At 38.0% G+C, this 24,719-nt stretch overlaps 1 protein-coding gene across 53 annotated transcripts in view; it reads left to right on the top strand.

Annotated features, from left to right (window-relative positions):
* NEK11 (NIMA related kinase 11) overlaps positions 1 to 24,719 on the top strand; it is a 323,589-nt gene that overhangs the window by 156,192 nt on the left and 142,678 nt on the right. For 2 of the 53 annotated variants that reach the window (XM_017007221.2, NM_001321223.1), the window contains one exon: positions 1,634 to 1,705. The exons of the other annotated variants lie outside the window; for them this stretch is intronic. In XM_017007221.2, coding sequence (XP_016862710.1) covers positions 1,634 to 1,683 — 50 coding nt within the window. In that variant the 3' untranslated portion in view covers positions 1,684 to 1,705. Of the gene's footprint in view, positions 1 to 1,633; positions 1,706 to 24,719 lie in introns of those variants that run through there. 53 annotated transcript variants of the gene reach the window in all.

Consider the following 24,719-nt stretch of genomic DNA (forward strand, 5'->3'; position numbering starts at 1 on the left):
ACCAACCTTTGTGTGTTTTTGACATCCCAAATGAAAAATTTTAGTGGTATACTTGAGAGGGCTGAAAGGTGACTACCGATTAAGAAAGAGCAGATTTTAGAAAAAATTTTAAAATGTTTCCCTTGGCCCCTTTAGCTCTGTGCCATGTTTGAGGAGAGTAGGTCATTGCCCTGACTATGCTAACATGTTCACAGGCCAACTTCTTTTTTTAAAATTAAATAAAATTTAAAGTTCTGGGATATGTGTGCAGGATGTGCAGGTTTGTTACATAAGTAAACATGTGCCATGGTGGTTTATGGCACCTGTCAACCCATCACCTGGGTATTCAACCCCATATGCATTAGCTATTTATCCTGATTCTCTCCCTCCCCCTGGCCCCATGACAGGCCCCAGTGTGTGTTTTTCCCCTCCCTGTGTCCATGTGTTCTCATTGCTCAGCTCCAGCTTATAAGTGAGAACATGTGGTGTTTGGTTTTCTGTTCCTGTGTTAGTTTGCTGAGGATAATGGCTTCCAGCTCCATCTATGTCCCTGCAAAGTACATGACCTCATTCCTTTTTATGGCTGCATAGTATTCCATGGTGTATATGTATCACATTTTCTTTATCCAGTCTATCACTGATGGACATTTGGGTTGATTCCATGTCTTTGCTATTGTGAATAGTGCTGCAATAAACATACATGTGCATGTATCTTTATAACAGAATGATTTATATTCCTTTGGGTATATACTGGTAATGGGATTGCTGGGTCAAATGGTATTTCTGGTTCTAGGCCTTTGAGGAATCACCACACTGTCTTCCACAATGGTTGTACTAATTTGTATTCCCACCAACAGTGTAAAAGCATTCCTATTTCCCCACAGCCTTGCCAGCATCTGTTGTTTCTCGACTTTTTATAATCGCAGAGGCCATCTTCTTACCTGTCCCTAGGAACTCCACGATTCTTTGGTGCCATCATGATGTCATTCGATGCCTCGCCTCTTACTTTTTGCTCTCAGTAAATCATATTCCTATAATCATTGCTCTCTCAGCTCAAAATTCCATCCAGCAGGCATCATGGTAAAAACATGTATTTTCCATTATATTGGCAATATTCATTGATTCAAAAATGTCAGAGGAAGTACTCACAGTATAGGAATGTATCATACCACAGCAACTTAGAGTCAATAAACTAGTTCTTTGTTACTCAAAGTGTGACCTGTGGATTACAATCAGTAGCATCCTGAGAATTTGTTAGAAATGCAGAATCTCGGACTCACTTCAGACTTCCTAGATCAGAAGATGCATTTTTAACAACATCTCAGTGATTCGTAGGCACATTAAAGTTTGAAAAGGACTGAGCTAGACTCTAAACCCAAAAGAGTATGGACCATGTCCGTCTTGCTCACCATTTTATTCCTACCTACTTATACAGTAACTAGTTCAGAGTTGGTGTTGCTAAGTATTTGCTGAATGAATGACTAAACCTAGGGAAAAATCCTATTAAGAACACGAATGCTTTTTATCTTAAACAGCATACATTTCACGCAGAGATTAATTCAGTTGGGGAAGCAGTAGAATAACAAGTTGCCAGGAGAGGATAAGTTGTGTGCATCACTGTTCATCTATAAAATTTTTCTCTTTCTTCTTAAAGGAGACTGTAATCTAATTTCACTAGACGAATACTGGAAAAATGAAAAATAAAGGAATTTCTGAAATAAGGAAATAGAATCCTCCATGCATACTTTTTGAGTCCCCTAGCTGTTGCATCTTTCTTTATGGATACCCCTACATTTAAATAATATTTTAGGTAAGTCACCAACAGTTTAAAAATATGGTTTGTTCTTCTGCAGTAACTATAGAATAGTATTTAATTTAATAGAAATGGCCAGCCATCCTTTAATAGAAGGGTCACCAGAGTAATCCTCCCAAGGCTCCTTGGGATGTGTCCTGCCTAAGAACTACTGGGAATTAAAGGGTTGTATGAAGTATAGTCTGTATTACAGGTGCACACTTGTTTCTTTTGTTTGTATCAGTTAGTCTCCCCATGGAATTCATGACAGCACTTTCCATATGACAGAACGTTAGCAAATATTGGTTGAATCACTATTTTTTAATAACAGGCCTAGTAGGGCCATTACGTGAAAATATTTTTTTAGTGGTTGTGTTGACTGGATCCTCTGGAAAGCAGATAATAGGACAGAGTTAGAAGTATAAGAGCTGTAATAGGGTAAAGTCTGTTGAAAGAAAACTGATAGAAAGATTGGGAGTAGGCAGAGAACCTTCAGACTATGATGCAGGTCTGACACCTGTGAAAGGCAAGCAGGAAGGAAAACAGACTGGGCAAGAAGAGTCTCAGACAGCACTGGAGCTCTGAGACAGCCTCATTCAGCCCAATGGGTGGCTTTGAACCAGCTTTTACTGGTTCAAAGATTTCCCATAGAGGAATCCCATATTGGACAGAAATGCTATTCCCTACTGTCCCCCACCAACTCAAATGCTCAACTGATCCCCAATATCTTACAGTTTGAGGCGCTGGGTTCACTGCATGCTTGGCAGCTAATCATCAAATTCTTGAAAGACCTGAGAAGCAGACTTCCACAGATGATTCATAGATAGTGGTTCCTTTGAGCCATTCCATATGCTTGAGATGGTAAAAGAGTATTTTGATAACAGTCTATAATTCAGTAGTTTTCTCTGACTTAAAGTAACTGTACCTCCAATATGTTCAAAGTAAGAATGACTAAAATTTCTGGAATATTCGTACACATTTCAGAAAAATCCACTAAACTGATGGCCACTGGTATACTTTAAAGAGATTTGGGGCCAGACTTTGTCTTTTCCTTACTTATGGCATTTACCAACTATGTGGACCTGGACAAAAAATTTAATATTCCCAAGCCTCAGTTTTCTCATCTGTATAATGGGAATAATCACACCCATTTTGCAGGGGTTTAGTGAGGAACAAATAAGATGATACACAAAGCTGAGCACAGCACGTGAAACAGAAAGTACACAGCAATTTTTTACTAAAGGAGTACAATCAGTGTCAAAGCAAGTTGCAATATTTTCTCAAGTTTCACATAAAACCTTTGAAATGATGATCAATAGTATTTCAACTTTAATCACCAGGAAACCTTATAATTTTAGCCCATAAACACCTTCACTATATGAATTAAGAATAATTTAGAATACAGTATTTTTATTTGCTATTGTTTTTGCGTTTATGAAAAATATAAAATCACTTTGGCTGATTAGTTCTACATATCAAATGATGGTCTTAATGATGCCTATCTGGGCCAGTGAACTTAGTACCAAAATAAATTATCATCTTTGTCAGGTCTGTAGACAGCCCCCAGAATTAGAGCCAAGGCCCTACAAATGTGTATCAAGATAATGTAGGGAGAGTGCAGCAAACTGTTCATGACCTAATTCACGCCAAGGAAGGCATTTCTAAATGGGCGCCCTCCTGTTGGTGCATCAGGGATACCACTGTTATATCCAGAAGTAGAACCTGGGACAAAGTTCTTTCCTTAGAAGACGCTCCTTTGCCAGCCGTTTAGAGCCCATACACTAGCAGTTAAAATTTCCATCTATTTTCTCTAAGTACATTATGAGTGTAAATATATTTTGTGCTAAGGAGCATAAGAAGGACCAGAATATGTATCCATTTTTCCATTGTAGTCTCATTTGAGATTTAGGCCAAACTCAATAGATTAAAATATAGAGCTTGGTAGGCATAACCATGACTTTTGCAATGGAAATATTTAGGTAATACTTGTGGCTTATTTTAATGTAATCCTCTGCTTTGGGTTTATAATAAAATCAGGTAATTTTCCTGATACATAGGGATTTGTTATCCACTCTACCTCAAAGGCTGTATGTATAAGTGAACTCCTGGTTTTAGACAAATTGCTTTGAATTACTTCCATTATTTTCTCCTTTAGTTGGAATATGAAGAAATTTCAGCAGGCCTTTTTTTCATAGCATAGATTTTGAAGACAAGGAAAAGTCTGTGCTTGTTTCTGGTGCTGTGCGTTTGAGGAGCACACACTGAAAGCAATTTGTCTAGAAGTATGCTGTCTGATTTGAAATCCACTAGCCACATGTGGTTACTTTAAATTAATTAAAGTTAAATACAATTAAAAATCTGTTCCTCAGTCACATTAGTCACATTTCAAGTGCTTAATAATTACACGTGGTTAGTGGATACTGTGTTGGACAGCATACTTCTAGAACATTGCATCATCGAAGAAAGTCTTATTGGGCAGCACTGTTCCAGAGTAAAATCTAAGTATCTAAATTTTTAAAAAGCTCCACAGGTGATTCTGGTGGGAAACCTGTTTCAAAAATCACTATAACTACTATTAAATGTTGATCTTATATTTCAACTTAAAACTCACAAAAGATTCTATTTCCCTCATTTTCCAGTTCTTCCTTGGAATGAGGGATTGGTTTACTGAAATTCTCAAATACTGACAACATGTGTCAATAACTCTTCTCCTTTTTCATAGAGAAGGACACTGAAGTGCAAAGAGGTAAAAGATGAAGGAGATATTGTTGTACTGGACCCAGCCCCATCTGCAATTTTTTTTCAGAGGTTTCTCTTCTATGCTGTGACAGCTTTCCACTAAATAGAAGAAATGAGTACAGGTGTTTTGGTTGAAGTCCTACTTCCAGAGCATATTAGGACCAAACACTGTGATACTATTATGCTGCCTCAGACCATAGTGTAGCAAGTGAAAGCCCCAAAAGTCACACAGATTGAAAATAAAGTATTTCAGAGTTTACCTAATAATAATTCCTTCCCACAGTGAAAGACAAAGCTTACATTTATTAAAAACCAGTTGATCATGTTAATGAGTCAGAAGTGTTCAAACCAGCTGATTTTACAAGACTGAAGAGAAAATACAATTTAATTAGAGATGGTCAGGTAAAATAGCTAACAGTCATTAGTGACATCTAGGAGCAAATAAACAAACCCTGAGTTAATGAAGGGTACACAGGCAGATAGAGGCTTGACACTGGGACTAGAGCTGGCCTGGAGTGCCATAGTGTGAGTGTGTCTCTTGTGTGTAGTTGTGTAATGAGCTGTTTCTTACATAGCCTGGTACATAGAAGTGCATTTTGTGAGTTCATGTCTCCAAAGTGCTTGTGTGGCCTAAACAATGTCCATTTATTTTGGCTCCTTTGTGATTAAATTGTATGATTTTAAGGTGATAAGAAAATAGTCAGTGGTATTTCTTTTTCCTCTAAAAGATTTATTATTAGATTGGTGCAAAAGCAATTTCAATTTTTGCCATTGAAAGTAATGGCAAAAACCGCAATTACTTTTGCACTAACCTAGTATAATAAACTTTATTTTCTTAAGTGGCAGTTTGCCTCTTTGAGCTTCAAAAGTGGTTATCTTATGTGGCTCTGTAGAAATCTCTTCAAATTTACCTGTTTTCTTCTTTCTGGGCTTCCTTTTAGGAATTCTGGAGTCCCTTCTTTTAGGAATTTTACATTGCTGTTATCCTTGTACTTTGTAAGTACCATTATATCCTTGCACTTTTCAATCCTAATTGATTTTCCTGCTCCTAGGCAATTGCCTTTCATATCCTTTAGAAAAAGCATTCCCTGAGCACCACTTTTATCTTTCATCAACAGTCAATCTTCAACAAATATTTATCAGGCATCCATTCTGCTGAGAAAAGGGAATCCAGTAGTGAGCAAGACAGACTTGGTTCTGCCCTATAGAGCCTACAGTGAAGTTTTCCTCTACCCCAAAGTGTTTCATTACTTCCTGTAGTGAGTTGAATTATGACCCCCAAAAGATATGTCTGCTTGGAACCTCAGAAGGTGACCTTATTTGGAATAAAGATCTTTGCAGATAAAATTAAGGTAAGGATCTTCGGGGGAGATCACCCTGGATTACAGTGGGCCCTGAATCCAGTGACAAGTCCTCATCAGAGAAGAGAAAATAAAACAGATAGAGAGATATATTAATACAAAGAAGATGATGTGAAGAGATTGTAGTAATGCACCTACAAGCCAAGGAAGACCAAGGATTGCCAACAGCCACCAGAAGCTAGGAAGGAGGGGAGGCCTGGAACAGATTCTTCCTCAGAGCTTCCAGAAGGAACCAACCCTGCCAGTGCCCTGATTTTGGACTTCTGACCTCCAGAATTGTGAGAGAATAAATTTCTGTTGTTTTAAGTCACCAAATTTGTGGGACTTCATTACAGCAGGCCTAGGAAACTAAAACACTTCTTGTCTTAGTCTGTTCAGGCTGTTGTAACAAAATACCATAGACTAGGTGGCTTATAAACAACAGAAATTTATTTATTACCATTCTGGAGACTGGGAAATCCAACATCAATGCATTGGCAGATTCAGTGTCTGGCAAGGGCCTATTTTCTGGTTCATAGATGATGACTTCTCACTGCATCTTTTATAAGGGTACTAATCCCATTCATGAAGCCTCCATTCTCACAATCTCATCACCCCTCAAAGGCTCCAACTTCTAATATCATCACATTGGTGATTACGTTTCAACATATCAATTTAGGGGAGACACAAACATTAAAACCAAACCATTTCCTTTATTCACTTTAAAAACATAAACCCTTTTATCTCATTTTTGTATAGCAGTCAAGAGAACAGGTTATTTAGGCAGACTGTCTGGGTTATAATTCTATCTTTGCCAATCACTATGGCATTTGGGTCAAATGCCATAAACCTCTGTGCCTCAGTTTCCTCATCTGTTAGATGGAAATCACAATGATATTGATGTCATAGCATTACTGTGAGGAATTTAAAAGCACTTAGAGAAGTTGCTGGAATGTAGTGATTAATAATTATTTTACTACTATTTTACTAATTTTCATTATTGTTAAAGGCTTACAGAATATTTCACAACCAGTCCAAACAGAAATGTTTTTTCTAATTGCTCACTTACCGTAAGACTTTATATCTCTACTATTTTTAATCACATATAGCCTTGTGATTGTATTTAACTTTACACATCGATGTATAGATCCATAAATATTTACTGAGAAACTGCTAAGTTCAAGGTATTTTGCTAGTCATTTTGGGAAACTTGAGCTAGAAATTATTTTTTTAAAGAAGCAAAAATTCTTTAGCAGCAAATGAACTTATTCATGCTCTCAAAAACTACTGTTCGAGCACTCACATGTGCCCGGCACTGTCCTGTGCACTGAGGATTCAGGAGTGAACAAAGCAGACACAAATCCCTGCCTCCATGGAGCCTCCATTCAACTGGGGGCGATGGAAAATAAACAGACAAATATGTTGGAGGTTGGGCTGGTGGGAGGTATTTGGATCATAGAGGCAGATCCCTCATGAATGGCTTAATGTCATCCCTAAAGTAATGAGTGATTTCTCACTTGATGAGTTCAGATGAGATCTGGTTGTTTAAAAGAGTGTAGCTTCTTCCCCCTTCTTGTTCCCTTCTGTTGCTTCCTGTCTCACCATGTGACACCCACTCCCCCTTCACCTTCTGCTATGATTTTAAGCTTCCTGAGGCCCTCACCAGAAGTGGACGCTGGCACAACACTTGCTGTACAGCCTGCAGAACCCTCAGCCAAAATAAACCTCTTTTCTTTATAAATTACCCATCCTCAGGTATTCTTTATAATTATAGTGATACAAGTGGACTAATACGCTATGGTAAAAAGTTTAGTGGGGCATTGAATCTCTTAATCCAGGGTAAAATTAGAAGATAATCTTCCAATTCTGAAGACTAAAAGATCTCTAGAAATTATGATTTCAGAACAAAATATAATTATTGTAAATATTACAACATTTAACAACATAAAAATAACATGTCACCAAAATTGGGAGGTATGGAAAGGTGAGTTGGAAAAAAGCCTTAGTGTACAGACTTCTTTAACAGCAGGAAATCAATTAATAGTATCTAAAAGTGAAACACATAGCCAATAAAAGATACAATGACTGCAGCCTCTTCACATTGTTATAATTATTATTCTTATCCTTACAGAGGTATGTTATTAACTAATATCTCTTGTGGTAAAGGAACAATTATCTAAAGTTCAGCAACTACTCAGTTTCAGTTTTTTCTTTGATAATTTCAAAAAATACATTTAATACCTAGAAAAAATAATACTGTATTGATTTCTCATTGCCGCTATAACAAATAATCACAAACTTAGTGGCTTAAGCAATGCAAATGGACTCTCTTACAGCTCTGGAGATTAAAAGTCCAAGATTGGTCTCACTGGGCTAAAATCAAGATGTCACTGGCCTGCATTCCTTCTGGAGGCTCTAGTGACCTTGCTGTTTCCAGCTCATAGAGCTCCTGCATTCCTGGTTTGTGCCCTCCTTTCTCTATTTTCAAAGCTAGCAACACTGGACCAAGCCCTTCTGATGCTGCCATCTCTCTGGTTCTCCCTCTTCTGTGCTGTGCCCTCTTCTATTTTTAAGGACTCTTATAATTATATTGGGCCCACCCAGGTAATCCAGGATGATCTCCCTATTTTAAAGGCAGCTAATTAACAATCTTAATTCTATCAATCTTAACTCTGCTTTGCCATGTAAGATAACATATTCAAAAACTCTGGGGATTAGGATGTGAACATTGTTTGGGGGTTATTATTCTGCCTACTACAAATACTCTGAATTCTGATAAAAAAAATACAATGTTTAAAAAGAGAGTTAAGGACAGTCTTTTCAACAAATGATATTAGGAAGACTGGATATCTCATGCAAAAGAATAAAGCTAGACCCTTACCTCATACCAAAAATTAAAATTAAAATAGATCAAAAACCTAAAACTATAAAAACACATAGAAGAAAGCTCATGACATTGGATATGACAGTAATTTATTGATATGACACCAAAAGTACCAGCAACAAAAGAAAACATAAACATGGATTTCATCAAAATGAGAAATTTTTATGTATCAAAGAACAGTATCAACATAGTAAAGTGGCAACCCACAGAACGGGAGAGAATATTTGCAAAGCACATATCCAATAAGGGATTAATATCCAGAATATATAAAGAACTCTTGAAAACAACAACAAATCAAACAGCCCAATTAAAAAATGGACAAAAGATTTGAATAGAAATTTCTCCAAAGAAGATATACAGATGGCCAATAAGCACATAAAATGATGCTCCATATCACTAATCACTAGGAAAATGCAGTTAAAAATCACAATGAGATACGACTTTACACCCATTAGAATGGCAACTATCAAAAAACAAAATAACAAATGTTGGCCAGCATGTGGTGAAATTGGAACCCTTATGCACTGCTGGTGGGAATGTTAAGATGAGGTAGCTGCTGTATAAAACAGTATGGTGATTCGTCAAAAAATTAAACATGGAATTACCATATTTTCCAGCAGTTCCACATGTGATTATATACCCTCCAAAATTGAAAGCAGGGTCTCAAAGAGATATTTGTATACCGATGTTCACAGCAGCACTATTCACCATAGCCAAAAGGTGAAAACAACTCAAATGTCCATTGATGGATGAATGGATAAACAAAGTATAACATACATACAATGGAATATTATTCAGCCTTGAAAAGGAAGAAAATTCTGATACATGCCACCATGTAATGAACCTTGAAGACATTATGCTACATGCAATAAGCCAGACACAAGGGGACAAATATTGCATAATTCTGCTTTAATGAGCTACGTATAGCAGCCAAAATCATAGAGACAGAAAGTAGAACTGTGGTTGTCAGGGTCTTGGGGGAAGGAAGTAATGGGGAGTTATTGTTTCATGGTACAGAGTTTCCATTTGGGAAGATAAAAAGTTCTGGACAGGGATGGTGGTGATGGTTGCACAACAGTGTGATGGTGTGGTAATCGGCTGGTGTCCCCAGCTACTGAATAAACTCTAGGTTAGCAGCTTTCAAACTTTTTGGCACCAGGACACCTTAACACGCTTAAAAATTGCTTGGGACACTGAAGAGCTTTTGTTTACATGGTTATATCTATAGATATATACCGTATTAGAAAGTAAAACAGAATTTAAAAATAGTCACTTAAAAATAACAGTAATAAATCTATACATATTAACATAAATTGCATACTTATCATGAAAGTTAACCATGTTTTCCAAAATAAAAAATTTGTTTAAAGAAATGGTGTTAGTTTACATTTTTACCTTTTTTTTAGCGACTAGCCTAAGAGAAGGCAGTGGTAGTCTCATATCTGCTTTGTATTTAGTCTATTGTGATATTACATGCCATATAGCCTTTGGAAAACTGTCTATTAATGATAGGACAAGAGTGAAAAAGGCAAATAACATATTGGTATTGTTAGAGTTTGGACTTCCTGAGTCTCAGAGACTTCCAGGGGTTCCTGGACCACTGTTTGAGAACTTCTATTCTAGGCATAAAATGACACTGCAAGAGCTAGCATTAAATATTACAGGATATCATGAATAATTTCTCCATTTGTTCTGCACTATTAAACAATTTTAATAAACTGGAAAAGGAATAATGAAGCAATAGGAATCCATTTCATAAATAGGGTATGTAAGGTAAAAGCCCTACTTTATTTGAATTTCATGGGTGTGAAATCATTAATAAACAGAATTAATGTTTTCAGTGTTATTGTAATGATCATAAAATTCTACATTCTTACTGAGATTATGCACTTTTATGCTTTAATAGATATCATTTTATGTGCTAAGTAGGTAGGTGCAAGATCTTGAAATTGTTGGGGGGCCTCCTATGGGGATAATTGTGTGATGAAGTACAATCATTTACTTAAATATTTCTCCCAAGAGTTTGAGAGTTTCTAAATGAATCAGCCAAATGCCTGGCTCCAGCATTCACTAGGCACAGCAGTTTTTCATCACTGAAGAATCTCAAATAAGATGCAATTGCCTGATAAATAATTTTGTGTTACTTGTCAACTTTTCAAAAAAATAGTCCTTGGAAAGCTGTAGTATCAGCAAATGCAATCAACACATTACAGCAAGTTGATTTGCAGGTTTATCGTCATGGAAATAAAACTTTCAGACACTGGGAGGTATGGTGACAGTGAAATGTTTTTCTGCCCCTAGTGGCATGGATTTCAGAGAATATCTTTAGATGGATTGCTCTATGTCAGCATTGACAAATTGCAAGTATAGTTTTATTTCAGTTTTCCCAGTTATATTCTTAAATGAATGTATTCCTTTTGTTGTTTAATTTTCTCTTGTAAAGATATATAGTTATTTTTAGTCGAATAGCTTATGAAAAATTAGGTGTATTTGACAAAGACACTTAATGTACAATTGGAATAAATGCAGTTCTAGTTGAATGTACAGCAATAGTATGATGGGCCCAAATTTATATTTCTATATATATGCACCTCTTCCATTGTCAAGATTTATTACATCCTAGAGAGTTTTCTAGGTGTTTTCAATAGGATCCTATAAATTCAGAACTTGGAGTCAGAAATGCATAATATTTCCTTACTTCAACATTGATAATGTTTCTCTTCCCCACTGTTCAAAATAGTCATTTTCATTTTTTGAGTGAAGCCACACAATATGTACACTATTTACATTGTTTTTATAAATTTATATTTTATAATTAAATAATTATCTCAACATTTTAACTGTGAACTTTGTGTTTTAAATTGAGTTTTAACAAATGATTAGGAGAAACTACAACATTTATTAAATACAAAATATATTTTCCCCTTTTATTTTTCTAAGAAACTGTCATCCTACCGATCATGCAACTGAATGCATCTTTTCAAGTTTGTTTTCTTATATAGGAAATATAAAGCAAGAAGTCTGCATGGTATAGTAAGAATCAAGAGATACAGAGTGAAAAGATCTGAGGTTGAATCTAGCCTTCCTACACTGGCTGTGTGATGTCAGACAAGTTCTGAAACTTTCCCAAGTTTCAACACTGTCATCTATAACATGGATTCTGAGGTACTATTACCAGGCTGCTCATGGTAATGAGCGTGGTAAGAACCTCCAGTTGCCCAACGCTGAGGAGCCCTCATCTCATCTCAAGTGCTGCATTTGCCTCCAGCTAGTCTCCTGCCCGCAACGAGTTCATTCTCTACATGCCTACCAAAGTGATCTTTTAAAAATGTAAAGCAGAGTTTGCCATTGCTTGCTTGAAACCTCTATTAGCTTTCTGTTGTGTGTAGGATATACAACAGAAAAACTTTCACGTGGCCTATAAGGCCCCTGCCTGCTTGCTCTTCCCCACCCCTCCTCCAACCTCACCCCATGCTACTACACTCCATCTCACTCCTGTTATGGTGACCAGCCATCCCAGTTTGCCTGAGATTTTCTTAGTTTAAGCACTGAAAACAAGAATGATTGCCCACTACACTCCTGATAGTCCAGCCATATTGTTCTCTGGGTGTGCCCACATCTTTCCCATCTTTGAAATGTCTGTTTGTCTTGGAAGCCACATCATATGCCCTCACCATGTACCTAGTTCATGCCTATCCATCCTTCAGGCCTCAGTTTAAAGGTCCTATTTGCAGAGAATCCTTCCCTGAGTCACAGATATAAATTAGATCTCATGTGTTATTCTTATATTAGCACCCGCAGGGCTACTGCATACAGTTGTGCCTGCTGTGTGCTGCACAACATCAGGGACCTCCATAGATGATGTGAAGGTGGTCCCCGGAGTTGTACCATGAGTTGATGCTGAAACAGTTCTTTTCCTTTATAGCACCTTTGTCAGTTGTGGTACATATAATGTCTACAAATTGTATATATAAAGAATATATATTTCAGAATATATATATATATATATATATATATAAAATTGAAGAAATTTTTATACACCCTATTGGTATGTAAGTTTCATAAGTGTAGGAGCTCTGTCAATTTTGATAATTTTTATACCCATTAACCAGTACAGTTAGTTATTTGTAAAATGCGTCCGATAAATACTTGCTTAATGAATGAATGGGAGCGTATTTTATGTGGGTTTGGTGACTATTATATGTGATAATATATTGAAAGTCCTTTGTAAGTTATTATTATTTATGATAAATATTAAATAGAATATGAAAAATGATTATTAGTACAATATCTAGGTTCTACTGTGATATAAAACTCTTAAATGTCTTTTCAAATACTCTATTAGCAGTCCTTAAGATTTTCCAGAGATATGCAATGATAAGCAGATCAATGGAGCAAAGTAAAGAATCCAGAACATTGCCTAAATATGAGTTTAGTATATACAAATGCATTGTTTTATTTAGTGAAGAAAGAAGACATATTTAAATAAGTAGTCTTGGAAAAATTGCCTGTTTGGAAAAAAAATAGATTCTTACTGTATAACACACACAAAAATAAATTTCAGTGAATTAAAAATTTAAATATTTAAGATATGAAACAAATAATAAAAGAAGATATTGAAGAATAACTTCATATTCTTGGAGTAAGGAATTTCTTTATAATTATGAAATAAACCCAGAAGTCATAAAAGACTTACAGAATTGCCTATTTAAAAATGCGAAATTTCTTTTTCCTTTTTCTTTTTTTTTTGAGACAGTGTCTCACTCTGCCACACAAGCTGGAGTAGAGTGGCATGATCTTGGCTCACTACAACCTCCACTTCCCTGGTTCAAGTGATTCTCCTGCCTCAGCCTCCTGAGTAGCTGGGACTACAGGTGGTGCCACCACGCTGGGCTAATTTTTGTATTTTTAGTAGAAATGGGGTTTCACCATATTGGCCAGGCTGGTCTCGAACTCTTGACCTTGTGATCCGCCCTCCCAAAGTGCTGGGATTACAGGTGTGAGGCACCATGCCTGGCCACAAAATTTCTTTTCTTTTCTTTTCTTTTTTTTTTTTTTTGCTGTTGCAAGATTTAATAGAGTGAAATAGAGTGAAAACAGAGCTCCCATACAAAGGGAGGGGACCCAAAAATGGTAGCCATTGCTGGCTCCAATGCCTGGGTTTATAACCCAATCATTGTCCCTCCCACTGTGTTCTCAGGCGATAGATGATTGGCTATTTCTTTACCTCCTGTTTTAGCCTAGTTACCATTTTAGTGAGCTCTCTTTCCTACCTGATTGGTCAGGTGTGAGCTAAGTTGCAAGCCCCGGGTTTAAAGGTAGAAGCAGTCACCTTCCCAGCTAGGCTTAGGGATTCTTAGTCAGCCTAGGAAATCCAGCTAGTCCTGTCTCTGAGTACCCCCTCTCAACAGGAAAACCCAAGTGCTGTTGGGGAGGATGGCCGATGACTGCTCTAACTGCTTCCTGCTGAATTGGGGCGTAGTGGGGGTTATGCAGTTGAGATTTCCTCTGGAGGGGTGCCTTCGATGTCATTAACATCGGAGCATGGGCTAGCAGGCCGGTCCAGGGGTCTGCGGTAGATCTTAGTCATGGACTGCGTCTGGGGCTCCATTTGAAGAACAATTTGTAGTTTTAGAGCTTCAATTCTGGAAGAGACAAACTTAACAAGGAGGTTAAAGATACAGGGATTGAAATGTATGGCCTGAAGTGCAGGGGATTATTTCTTTGGGACACTTCACAGGCCCTGACTATCTGCTTGATAGTTTTGAAAAGGCCTGGCCCAGTAAATAATAATTTGGCCATCTGATGGGTACTATCAATGCCTAAGTGGAAGGTTAGGTGAAGGGTTTTAAGTAATTTCTATTGGTTAGCTGCAGGCAAAATATTTTTCCTTCTCTGGTGGCTAGCCATCTGGAGGGGAGGGAAGTATGTCCTCGTGAGGTTCCCTATTCTATTTTTCCTGCTGAGTACTGGGACTTGGTTTCCCGGAGTGGATTACCCCATACTAGGGGTCCTTCTATAAGCATTTCTAATGGAGGGTCCTGCCTTGCAGCTCTTTTGACTTCAATATCTGCTTGGCGGTTCCCTTCTATTTCCCTTTCCTTTCCTTTCTGATGATGATGGCAGTGTAAGACTGCCACCTCTTCAGGTTTCTGTACAGCCAATAATAATCTCCTAATGGCTTCCTGATGTTTGATAGGTGTTCCCTCGAAATTAGGAATTCCCTTTCTCTCCATATTGCTGCATGGGCATGGAGGACTAGGTAAGCATACTTAGAGTCTGTATATATATTTACCCTTTTTTCCTTCTCCTAATTCTAGTGCCCGAGTGAGGGCTGTTAGTTTTGCCAGCTGAGCACTAGTTCCTGGAGTGAGGGGTTTACTTTCAAGTATTCCATTATCACTGACCACTGCATACCCTGCTTTTCAAAGTCCTTTTTCTACAAAGGAACTTCCATCAGTATACAAGCTGAGGTCGGGATCAGTCAAGGGACCCTCTAAAAGGTCCCTTCAAGTGGCATAGGTTTGAGCAATTACTTGTTGACAGTTACATTCTATCTTTTCTTCATTGTCTGGAAGAAATGTGGCTGGGTTAAGAGTTGCACAAGTGCGCAGTCACAGCACTGGACCTTCAAGTAATAGAGCCTGATATTTAAGTAAACAGTTGTCTGACAGCCACAAGTCTCCTTTAGCAGTGAGTATGCCATTCACATCATGAGATGTCCACACAGTAAGATCTCTTCCCTGTATCATTTTAACTTTTTCAGATACTAAGACTGCTACTGTCGCCAATACCCGTAAACAATGTGGCCAACTCTTTGCCACTACATCAGTTTCCTTACTCAGGTATGCCATGGGTTGCAAGCTCATCCCTCGGACCTGTGTAAGGACTCCTAGAGCTATTCCTGTTTTTTCTGTGACTTATAAAGAAAAGTCTTGTCCCGTTGGCAAGCTTAACGCTGGGGCTTGGGTTAGGGCCTTCTTTAGAGCCTGGAAAGCTGCTTCTGCCTCAGGTGTCCATCTTACTAAATGGGTATTGGCTTTCTGAGTTTCCTTAATTATATAATGTTCTGGCTATTTCGCCGTACCTGGGAATCCATATTCGGCAGAAACCTGTTATGCCAAGGAGCCCTTTTAGTTGCTTTAGGGTTTTGGGATGAGGACAAGCCAGTATAGGCTGGATACGTTCCTCACTGAGTGCCCTGGTGCCTTTGGATAATTTTGCCCCTACGTATTTAACCTGCTATGAGCAGAGCTGAGCCTTTGGTTTGGAAACCTTGTAGCCACAGGTAACGAGGAAATTTAGCCTTGCCGCAAAATTTCTATATAGCAAAAGACATAATAAAGATAAAAGACAAATGAGAAATAACAAATTAAGAAAACATTTGCAATTCTTACAATATATACAGGTTATAATGTATAAAATATATGTTCTACCTACCCCTTTAAATTAGGAAAAAAAGAAAACCCAACAGAAAAATGAGCAGAGGAAATTACCAATTTCATGAAGAATCTCACAAAAGGCTAATAAAAGGTGATTCAACCTTATTAAATAAATAAAAATAAAACTATAATATATCACAGTTTTGTAAAACTGGAAAGATTTACAAGACAGAATATACAATGTTAACAAAAGTGTGGGGGAAAACAGGACTTTTATACATTGTTGGTAAAATGCATAATAGTTTTGAAGAAATATTTTACAACTTTTTTAAAAATTAACATTTTTATTCAACAGTTTTTTAAAAAATATCATATGTAAAGAACTCTCTGGGTGTTGAGAATACAATGCTTTTTTTTTTTAAGTCCCTAACCTCTTGGAATATAACATTCTGGAGGAGAAGTTAGAAAATGAACAAAAAACTACAAATAGAAGTAAAATATAATATCTTATAAAACACAGTGGCATTCTACTTCTGATAATGTAGGCTGGGTAATGCCAGCAAGATTTCAGTAGATTAGACTAGACTAGTTTTCATAAAGCTTATATACCACTAAAGCAGAAATTAATGAACTGAAAGAAAGGTGAGAATACATTAGAATACTGAGAGTAAAAACAGGGAATTACAGAAGAAAGGGCAAAAGACCGGGGAAACACAGTGAGATCTAATATCACTTAACTGAAGTCTCAGAGAGAAACAGTATTTCAGGAAATAACAGGGGAAAATTTTCCAGAATTGATGGATATCATTCAATAGATTCAAGAGACTGAAGAATACCGAGTAACAAAATACAGAAATCTATAGCTTGATATATCATATTAAAACTTCAGACAACCAAAGATGTAGAGATTCTTGAAAGAATCCAGAGAAAAACCAATAAATTACTTTCAAACAAGTGACAAGGAAACTAATTGCTAATCTAAATAGCAATAAAGAAACGCATAAGTAATTGACATCTTCTGTGTACTGAAAGAAAGTAACTTCCAACCTGTAATTCATAGAGTAAATCAAGGTAATGAAAATTAAAGTCCACACTGAGATACCACTACGTACCACTCAGGACAAAAATGTAAAAGTTTGATAATACCAAGTGTTGTTAAGGATGTGGAACTACAAAGACAAATTATGCTTCCATTACTGGTGGGAGTATAAATTGATGCCTCTTCTTTGGAAAATAGCTCTTGGCATCTTCTAATAAAGATGCATACCCTATGACTCAATAATTTTACTCCTGGGTGTATTCCTTAGAAACATGTATGCTTATGTGTGAAACCAGCCCAACAGTCCTATAGACAATTGTTTTGGGATAAACATAGAAATTGACCCTTCTGCTCTTAAAGCTTGAAACTTGTCTTTGTTTTATCTGAGTTTCTTTCTCAGGAAAGGACTATCAGGCCTCTCAAAAAAGTATCAAAGAACCAAAACTCACCAGATGCCTCAAGCCCCCCTGTAGTTCTTGCTTTCTTACACATTGTTACATTTCTTCCCTGCTATATAAACCCTAGAGTTAGTGAGCCAGGGAGATGGAATTGAGGCTGAGCTCCCATCTTTTTGGCTGCAGCACCCGATTAAAGCCTTCTTCCTTGGTGTACTCATTGTCTCAGTGATTGGCTTTCTGTGCTGCGAGCAGCAGGACCTAGACCGAACCCCTGGTGTTTCGGTAACATGTGCACCAGGAGACATATACAAGAATGCAGTAATAGCCTCTAGAAACAATGAAATGCCTATTAATAGCATAACAAATAAATTATAGCATATTCATACAATGGGATGCTCTATAGCAATAAAAGTAAATGGACCTCAGCTCTCTGTAACAACATAGATAAATCTTGTAGACATGATATAACTAAAAGAAGCAAGATATGAAAGATTCCCTAAGATATAATTTCTTTTACATAACCATTAAACCAGATAAGCCAGAGTATATCATTTAGGAATTATATATATAACTATATATATATATACTTTCATATATATATATATATGAAACTATAAAGAAAAGCAAGGACGTGCTTACCATAAAAGTTAAAATATTGGTTATTTCTAGAGTGAAAAGCAGGCTTACAAATAGGAAGGGATGTGGAATATCGGAATGTCGGTGATGCATTTGGGCCACTGGTTAATTTTAAGTTTCTCGACCTATATAGTAGTTTTGCAAGTATTTGCTTTATATTTATTATATTGCACTTCTTTGGTATTGTTTGGGAGGTATCATTTTAGTAGAAACAAAGGAAATGAGAGAGCAAACTCTGTACATATCTAGGGGAAATGTTCTCTCTGACAGAAATGTGCCTCTCCTTTTACCCAGCATTTTCTTGTAGTAGTTTATCATCCAGAAATACCTCTACAAACTTTGCAAAGTTATGTGTTCACCACAACATTGAAGTGTGTAAGTAAATTTAGGTTGAGAGTTTATCATGAGTGGAGATTTTTCTCTGAGCAAATGCTAAACAGCAGGTTGTAGGAATGTCCCTCCAGTCATTTTTTTTTTTCTTTCTGGCAGGCATCCTGTATAACTACTCCAGACCAATTTAATGTTAATTTCTCATGAAATCCTACAGCACATGAGAAATGTAAATTCAGATTTTTATTTTATTTTATTTTATTTTGAGACAGAGTCTCGTTCTGTCGCCCAGGCTGGAGCGCAGTGGCACAATCTCTGCTCGCTGCAATCTCTGCCTCACCGGATTCAAGCGATTCTCTGCCTCAGCCTCCTGAATAGCTGGGATTGTAGGTGTGCACAACCACACCTGGCTAATTTTTGTATTTTTAGTAGAGACGGGGTTTCACCATGTTAGCCAGGATGGTCTCGATCTCCTGACCTCATGATCCACCCACCTTGGACTCCCAAAGTGCTGGGATTAGTGTGAGCCAAGGGTCCATTCCAAGAGGGCGGAATAGGAACAGCTCTGGTTTGCAGGTCCCAGCATGATCAACGCAGAAGACAGGTGATTTCTGCATTTCCAACTGAGATGCCTGGTTCATCTCATTGGGACGGGCTGGACAGTGGGTGCAGCCCACGGAAGGCAAGCTGAAGCAGGGCAGGGCATCACCACACCTGGGAAGTGCATGGGGTCAGAGGATTTCCCTTTCCTAGCCAAGGGAAGCCCTGACAGACTGTACTGGGAAAATCGGGACACTGCCACCTAAACACTGCACTTTTACAATGGTCTTAGCAAACGGCACACCAGGAGATTATATCCAGCACCTGGCTCAGCAGGTCCCACGCCCATGGAGCCTTCCTCACTGCTAGTCCAAGATCAAACTGCGAGGTGGCAAGCCTGGCATCTAAGACACCAAAAGCAATAGCAACAAAAGCCAAAATAGACAAATGGGATCTAATTAAACTAAAGAGCTTCTGCACAGCAAAAGAAACTACCATCAGAGTGAACAGGCAACCTACAGAATGGGAGAAAATTTTTGCAATCTACCCATCTGACAAAGGGCTAATATCCAGAATCTACAAAGAACTTAAACAAATTTACGAGAAAAAAATCAAACAGCCCCCTCAAAAAGTGAGCAAAGGATATGAACAGACACTTCTCAAACGAAGACATTTGCGCAGCCAACAGACACATGAAAAAATGTTCATCATCACTGGCCATCAGAGAAATGCAAATCAAAACCACAATGAGATACTATTTCACACCAGTTAGAATGGCAATCATTAAAAAGTCAGGAAACAACAGGTGCTGGAGAGGATGTGGAGAAATAGGAATACTTTTACACTGTTGGTGGGAGTGTAAACTAGTTCAACCATTGTGGAAGGCAGTGTGGCGATTCTTCAGGGATCTAGAACTAGAAATACCATTTGACCCCGTGATCCCATTATTGGGTATATACCCAAAGGATTATACATCATGCTACTATAAAGACGCATGCACTTGTATGTTTATTGTGGCACTATTCACAATAGCAAACACTTGGAATCAACCCAAATGTCCATCAATGATAGACTGGATTAAGAAAATGTGGCACATATACACCATGGAATACTATGCAGCCATAAAAAATGATGAGTTCATGTCCTTTGTAGGGACATGGATGAAGCTGGAAACCATCATTCTCAGCAAACTATCGCAAGGACAAAAAACCAAACACCGCATGTTCTCACTCATAGATGGGAATTGAACAATGAGAACACATGGACACAGGAAGGGGAACATCACACACTGGGGCCTGTTGTGGGGTGAGGGGAGGGGGGAGGGATAGCATTAGGAGATATACCTAATGTTAAATGACAAGTTAATGGGTGCAGCACACCAACATGGCATATGTATACATATGTAACAAACCTGCACTTTGTGCACATGTACCCTAAAACTTAAAGTATAATAAAAAAAAAAAAGAAACTTGGCTTCAGCTCCGCTGAAACAAAAATTTTCAAAACGGTGATATTGTGATACACACACACACACACATATATAAAGTACACATAAAGTTCATATATATATGTATATATGTATATATGTATATTTGTATATTATATATGTGTATATATATATGTGTGTGTGTGTGTGTGTGTATATATATATATATATATATATATATATATATATATATATATATATATATATATATATAAAGTTTTCACCCATGGTTCCTAGCTCATAACTTCCATAGCCCTTGTTTCAGTAAACAGAATCTCTTTCTCTGACCTTCCCCTGCCCTCCTTTCTCTCACCTACAATAGAACTCTAATCTGATTGTGAGTCATAAGACCTTCATTCTAGAGAGGGTCCTGTTTCATTCCCTGGAGAAAGAGATGCTGCATAGAGAGGCCAAATGGAATCTGAACAAAGAGGCTTTGCTAGGTTTAGATCTTACTCTTTTTGTCCAATCACATTTTGACACAGTTATCCATGCTTTGACCATGCCTATGCAATGAAGTCTCCAAAAAACCCAAAAGGATGGAGTTTGCCCAGATTCTGGATGGCTGAACACATGGAGGGTCCTAGAGGGTGGCACACCCAGGAAGGGCATGGATGCTCCATGCCACTTCCTCCATGCCTTACCCTATGCATTTCTTTATCTGTATCCTATGTCATATCCTGTATAATAAACCAGTAAACATCAGTGTTTCCCTGAGTTCTGTGAGTCACCCTAGCAAATTAATCAAACCCAAGGAGGGGGCTGTGAGAAGCTGATTTATAGCCAGTTGATCAGAAGGCCTGGATTTGTGACTGGTGTTTGAAGTGGGGCAGTCTTGGGGACTGAGCTCTCAACCTGTGAGATCTGACACCATCTCCAGTGTCATAGATAGATATTGTAGATAGTCAGAATTGAATTAGGGAACACCCAGCTGGTGTCCATTGCAGTAGTAATTGCTTGTTTGTTTGTGGGAAAAACACCCACACATTTGGTCACAGGTGTCTTCTGTATTGATTGTTTTCTTGGTGGGACAGCAGAGGAAAAATGGTTTGAGGTTTTTTTTTTTAAATAAATAGTACTACAATGCAAATGTACAACACATCTATTTCTCCCTACTCATTAAATAGGCCAAAATTAATTTTCTAGTGGAAGGACTTAGCATTGCTGTTTATGAAAATAATTTGATGCAAATCAGTAGGCATGCCTTGGGCTTTTTCATTGTTTGCAGCATGAGGACCGTCAAAGTGCTCTGAGAGAATCAGAAGCAGAATATTGATGGGGAGAGGGCATTGAACCTTGTGACTTCAAGATTTTCTCCATTGAGGGTGCTAATTTTTTGGGAAAGTGATCAGCTAAACATGAGTTATAGTTCAATAGACACCATGGCTGAGCAATTTAAGATGATATATAAAAGGCCCAGTCCAGATCAGGAGGCCAAGTGGACTGGCGATAGGGATGAAGGTAAGACTCACCATCCTTAGGAAACTAACCTCTGTATGGCAAGATGCTGGAGCTGGGTGGGCTTGGTGCAAAGTGAACTAAAGATTCACTTGGTTTTGGAATTTGGGTTTGGTAAAAGCAAAATCACAAATGGATAGGGCTAGATCAAATTGAAATTTAAATGGTAAATAAGAAATGAAAGTGTTGGTCCAAAGTGTTGACAGCCAACAAGTGTTGGAATGCACTTTTGAATCCAGAACAGGTAACCACCTTGGCTTTCATTACTCATTCTCAGTGGAGGCATGTAGCAGGAGGGTGTCTGATTAGAGGAACCACAAACAGGTAGAGCTGGAGAAAGCAGAATAGGAATCAAGTGTCAGGAAAAAAGGCTCCAGTATAGCAGTTGCTATCAGGTTGTTCATACCCTGTTTGATCCCTTTACCATTTCCTTGTGCTTTGTGTCCCAGCTGTGTCTCTTTTTGTGGGGGCTACTCTCAAGCTGCCAGAGCTCCGTCTGTCTATACTCAGACAGCCAGAAGGGCCTGGGAATATATACCTCTCTCCCACACCCCCAGCCCTCAAGAGGCAGACTTTTCAAAATGACTAATGTATGGAAGAGCATAAACACTCCAGTACCTCCCTGTTAATTGTCTCTAGAGCTCTGGGGGATTAAGCCAAAGTTAGGCCTTGTGGACCTCTACTTGATACTGCCTTTCTGATAAATAACTTTTACAAAAATTCTCATCTCAAGAGTCTTTTTCTGGGGAATTCAGCCTAAGACACCTAGCTTTTCAAAAATTTGGAAGTAATTCCTAGCTGTTTTATGAGATCTGGGGGAGTTTTCTTATCAGTTTTTCCTGAATTAGGCTTTAAACATTTTTTAAAGAATATTGATGATTTTATTGATGTGTTGTCTGTGTCACAGGATAACCATGGAATCACTGCGTATAAGTAAGGAAAATGATTTTAATGAATCTCTGAGCCCCTTAGTGCTGACACTTTCTCTATGGTTACAGTATAACACAGAGCACCCACATTCACCAAAAGAAGCCTTGTACAGGCACCACACCGTAACGTGACCTGGTTACCTGGTTCTGTCCATGGTGGGCATCAGTGTCTTCACCCAAATAGTCAGGCTCTCCAGATAGGTTTGAAAACTTCAGACAAAGTGAAGATGACAATGATTTTCTGAGAATGACTGAGGAGAACTCTACCAGAAAATTGTAGACAGTTTACCATGAATACTTAGAGATAAAGAGCTTTTCCAGATAGGCTGTAAGATATAGTAGTTGCAAGTTTCTATTTGTTAAGAAACTGTTTTTATTTTTAAACTTAACAAAGGTTTAATAGCTTTAACATTTAAAAAATTTATGCACAAATACCTTGGTCCTAAGCCAAATATTAACAAGTCACAGAGCAAAAAGTAAAACAGCTAATAAAAATATTAGAATCGTTAGGGTTCACTCTTAATTTTTAAAATTCAATTAAAATGAATACAATAACACATTTATCTATCACACAAGCAAAAATTAAAGTAAGAAACAATAAAAATATGCATCACTAGAGGGCTAACATTACAGGTACTGCATCATTCCCTTAACATGCATTGTTTTATTTATTTATTTTTTTATTATACTTTAAGTTCTAGGGTACATGTGCACAACGTGCAGGTTTGTTACATATGTATACATGTGCCATGTTGGTGTGCTGCACCCATTAAGCTGCACCCATTAAGTCATCATTTATATTAGGTATTTCTCCTAATGCTATCCCTCCCCCATCCCCTCACCCCACGACAGGCCCCACCCTGTGTCTAAGTGTTCTCATTGTTCAATTCCCACCTATGAGTGAGAACATGTGGTGGTTGGTTTTCTGTCCTTGTGATAGTTTGCTGGGAATGATGGTTTCCAGCTTCATCCATGTCCCTACAAAGGACATGAACTCATCATTTTTTATGGCTGCATAGTATTCCATGGTGTATATGTGCCACATTTTCTTAATCCAGTCTATCATTGATGGACATTTGGGTTGGTTCCAAGTCTTTGCTATTGTGAATAGTGCCACAATAAACATATGCGCACATGTGTCTTAATAGTAGCACGATTTATAATCCTTTGAGTATATACCCAGTAATGGGATGGCTGGGTCAAATGGTATTTCTAGTTCTAGATCCTTGAGGAATCGCCACACTGTCTTCCACAATGGTTGAACTAGTTTACAGTCCCACCAACAGTGTAAAAGTGTTCCTGGCTGGGCACGGTGGCCCATGCCTGTAATCCCAGCACTTTGGGAGGCTGAGGCGGGTGGATCACGAGGTCAGGAGATCGAGACCATCCTGGCTAACACGGTGAAACGCTATCTCTACTAAAAATACAAAAAATTAGCTGGGCGCGGTGGCAGGCACCTGTAGTCCCAGCTACTCGGGAGGCTGAGGCAGGAGAATGGCATGAACCCAGGAGGCTGAGCTTGCAGTGAGCCGAGCCTGGGTGCACTCCAGCCTGGGTGAAAGAGTGAGACTCTATCTCAAGAAAAAAAAAAAGTGTTCCTATTTCTCCACATCCTCTCCAGTACCTGTTGTTTCCTGACTTTTTAATGATCAACATTCTAACTGGTGTGAGATGGTATTTCATTGTGGTTTTGATTTGCATTTCTCTGATGGCCAGTGATGATGAGCATTTTTTCATGTGACTGTTGGCTGCATAAATGTCTTCTTTTGAGAAGTGTCTGTTCATAT

Source organism: Homo sapiens, chromosome 3, assembly GCF_000001405.40.
Source record: "Homo sapiens chromosome 3, GRCh38.p14 Primary Assembly".
NCBI classification, from domain to species: Eukaryota; Metazoa; Chordata; class Mammalia; order Primates; family Hominidae; genus Homo; species Homo sapiens.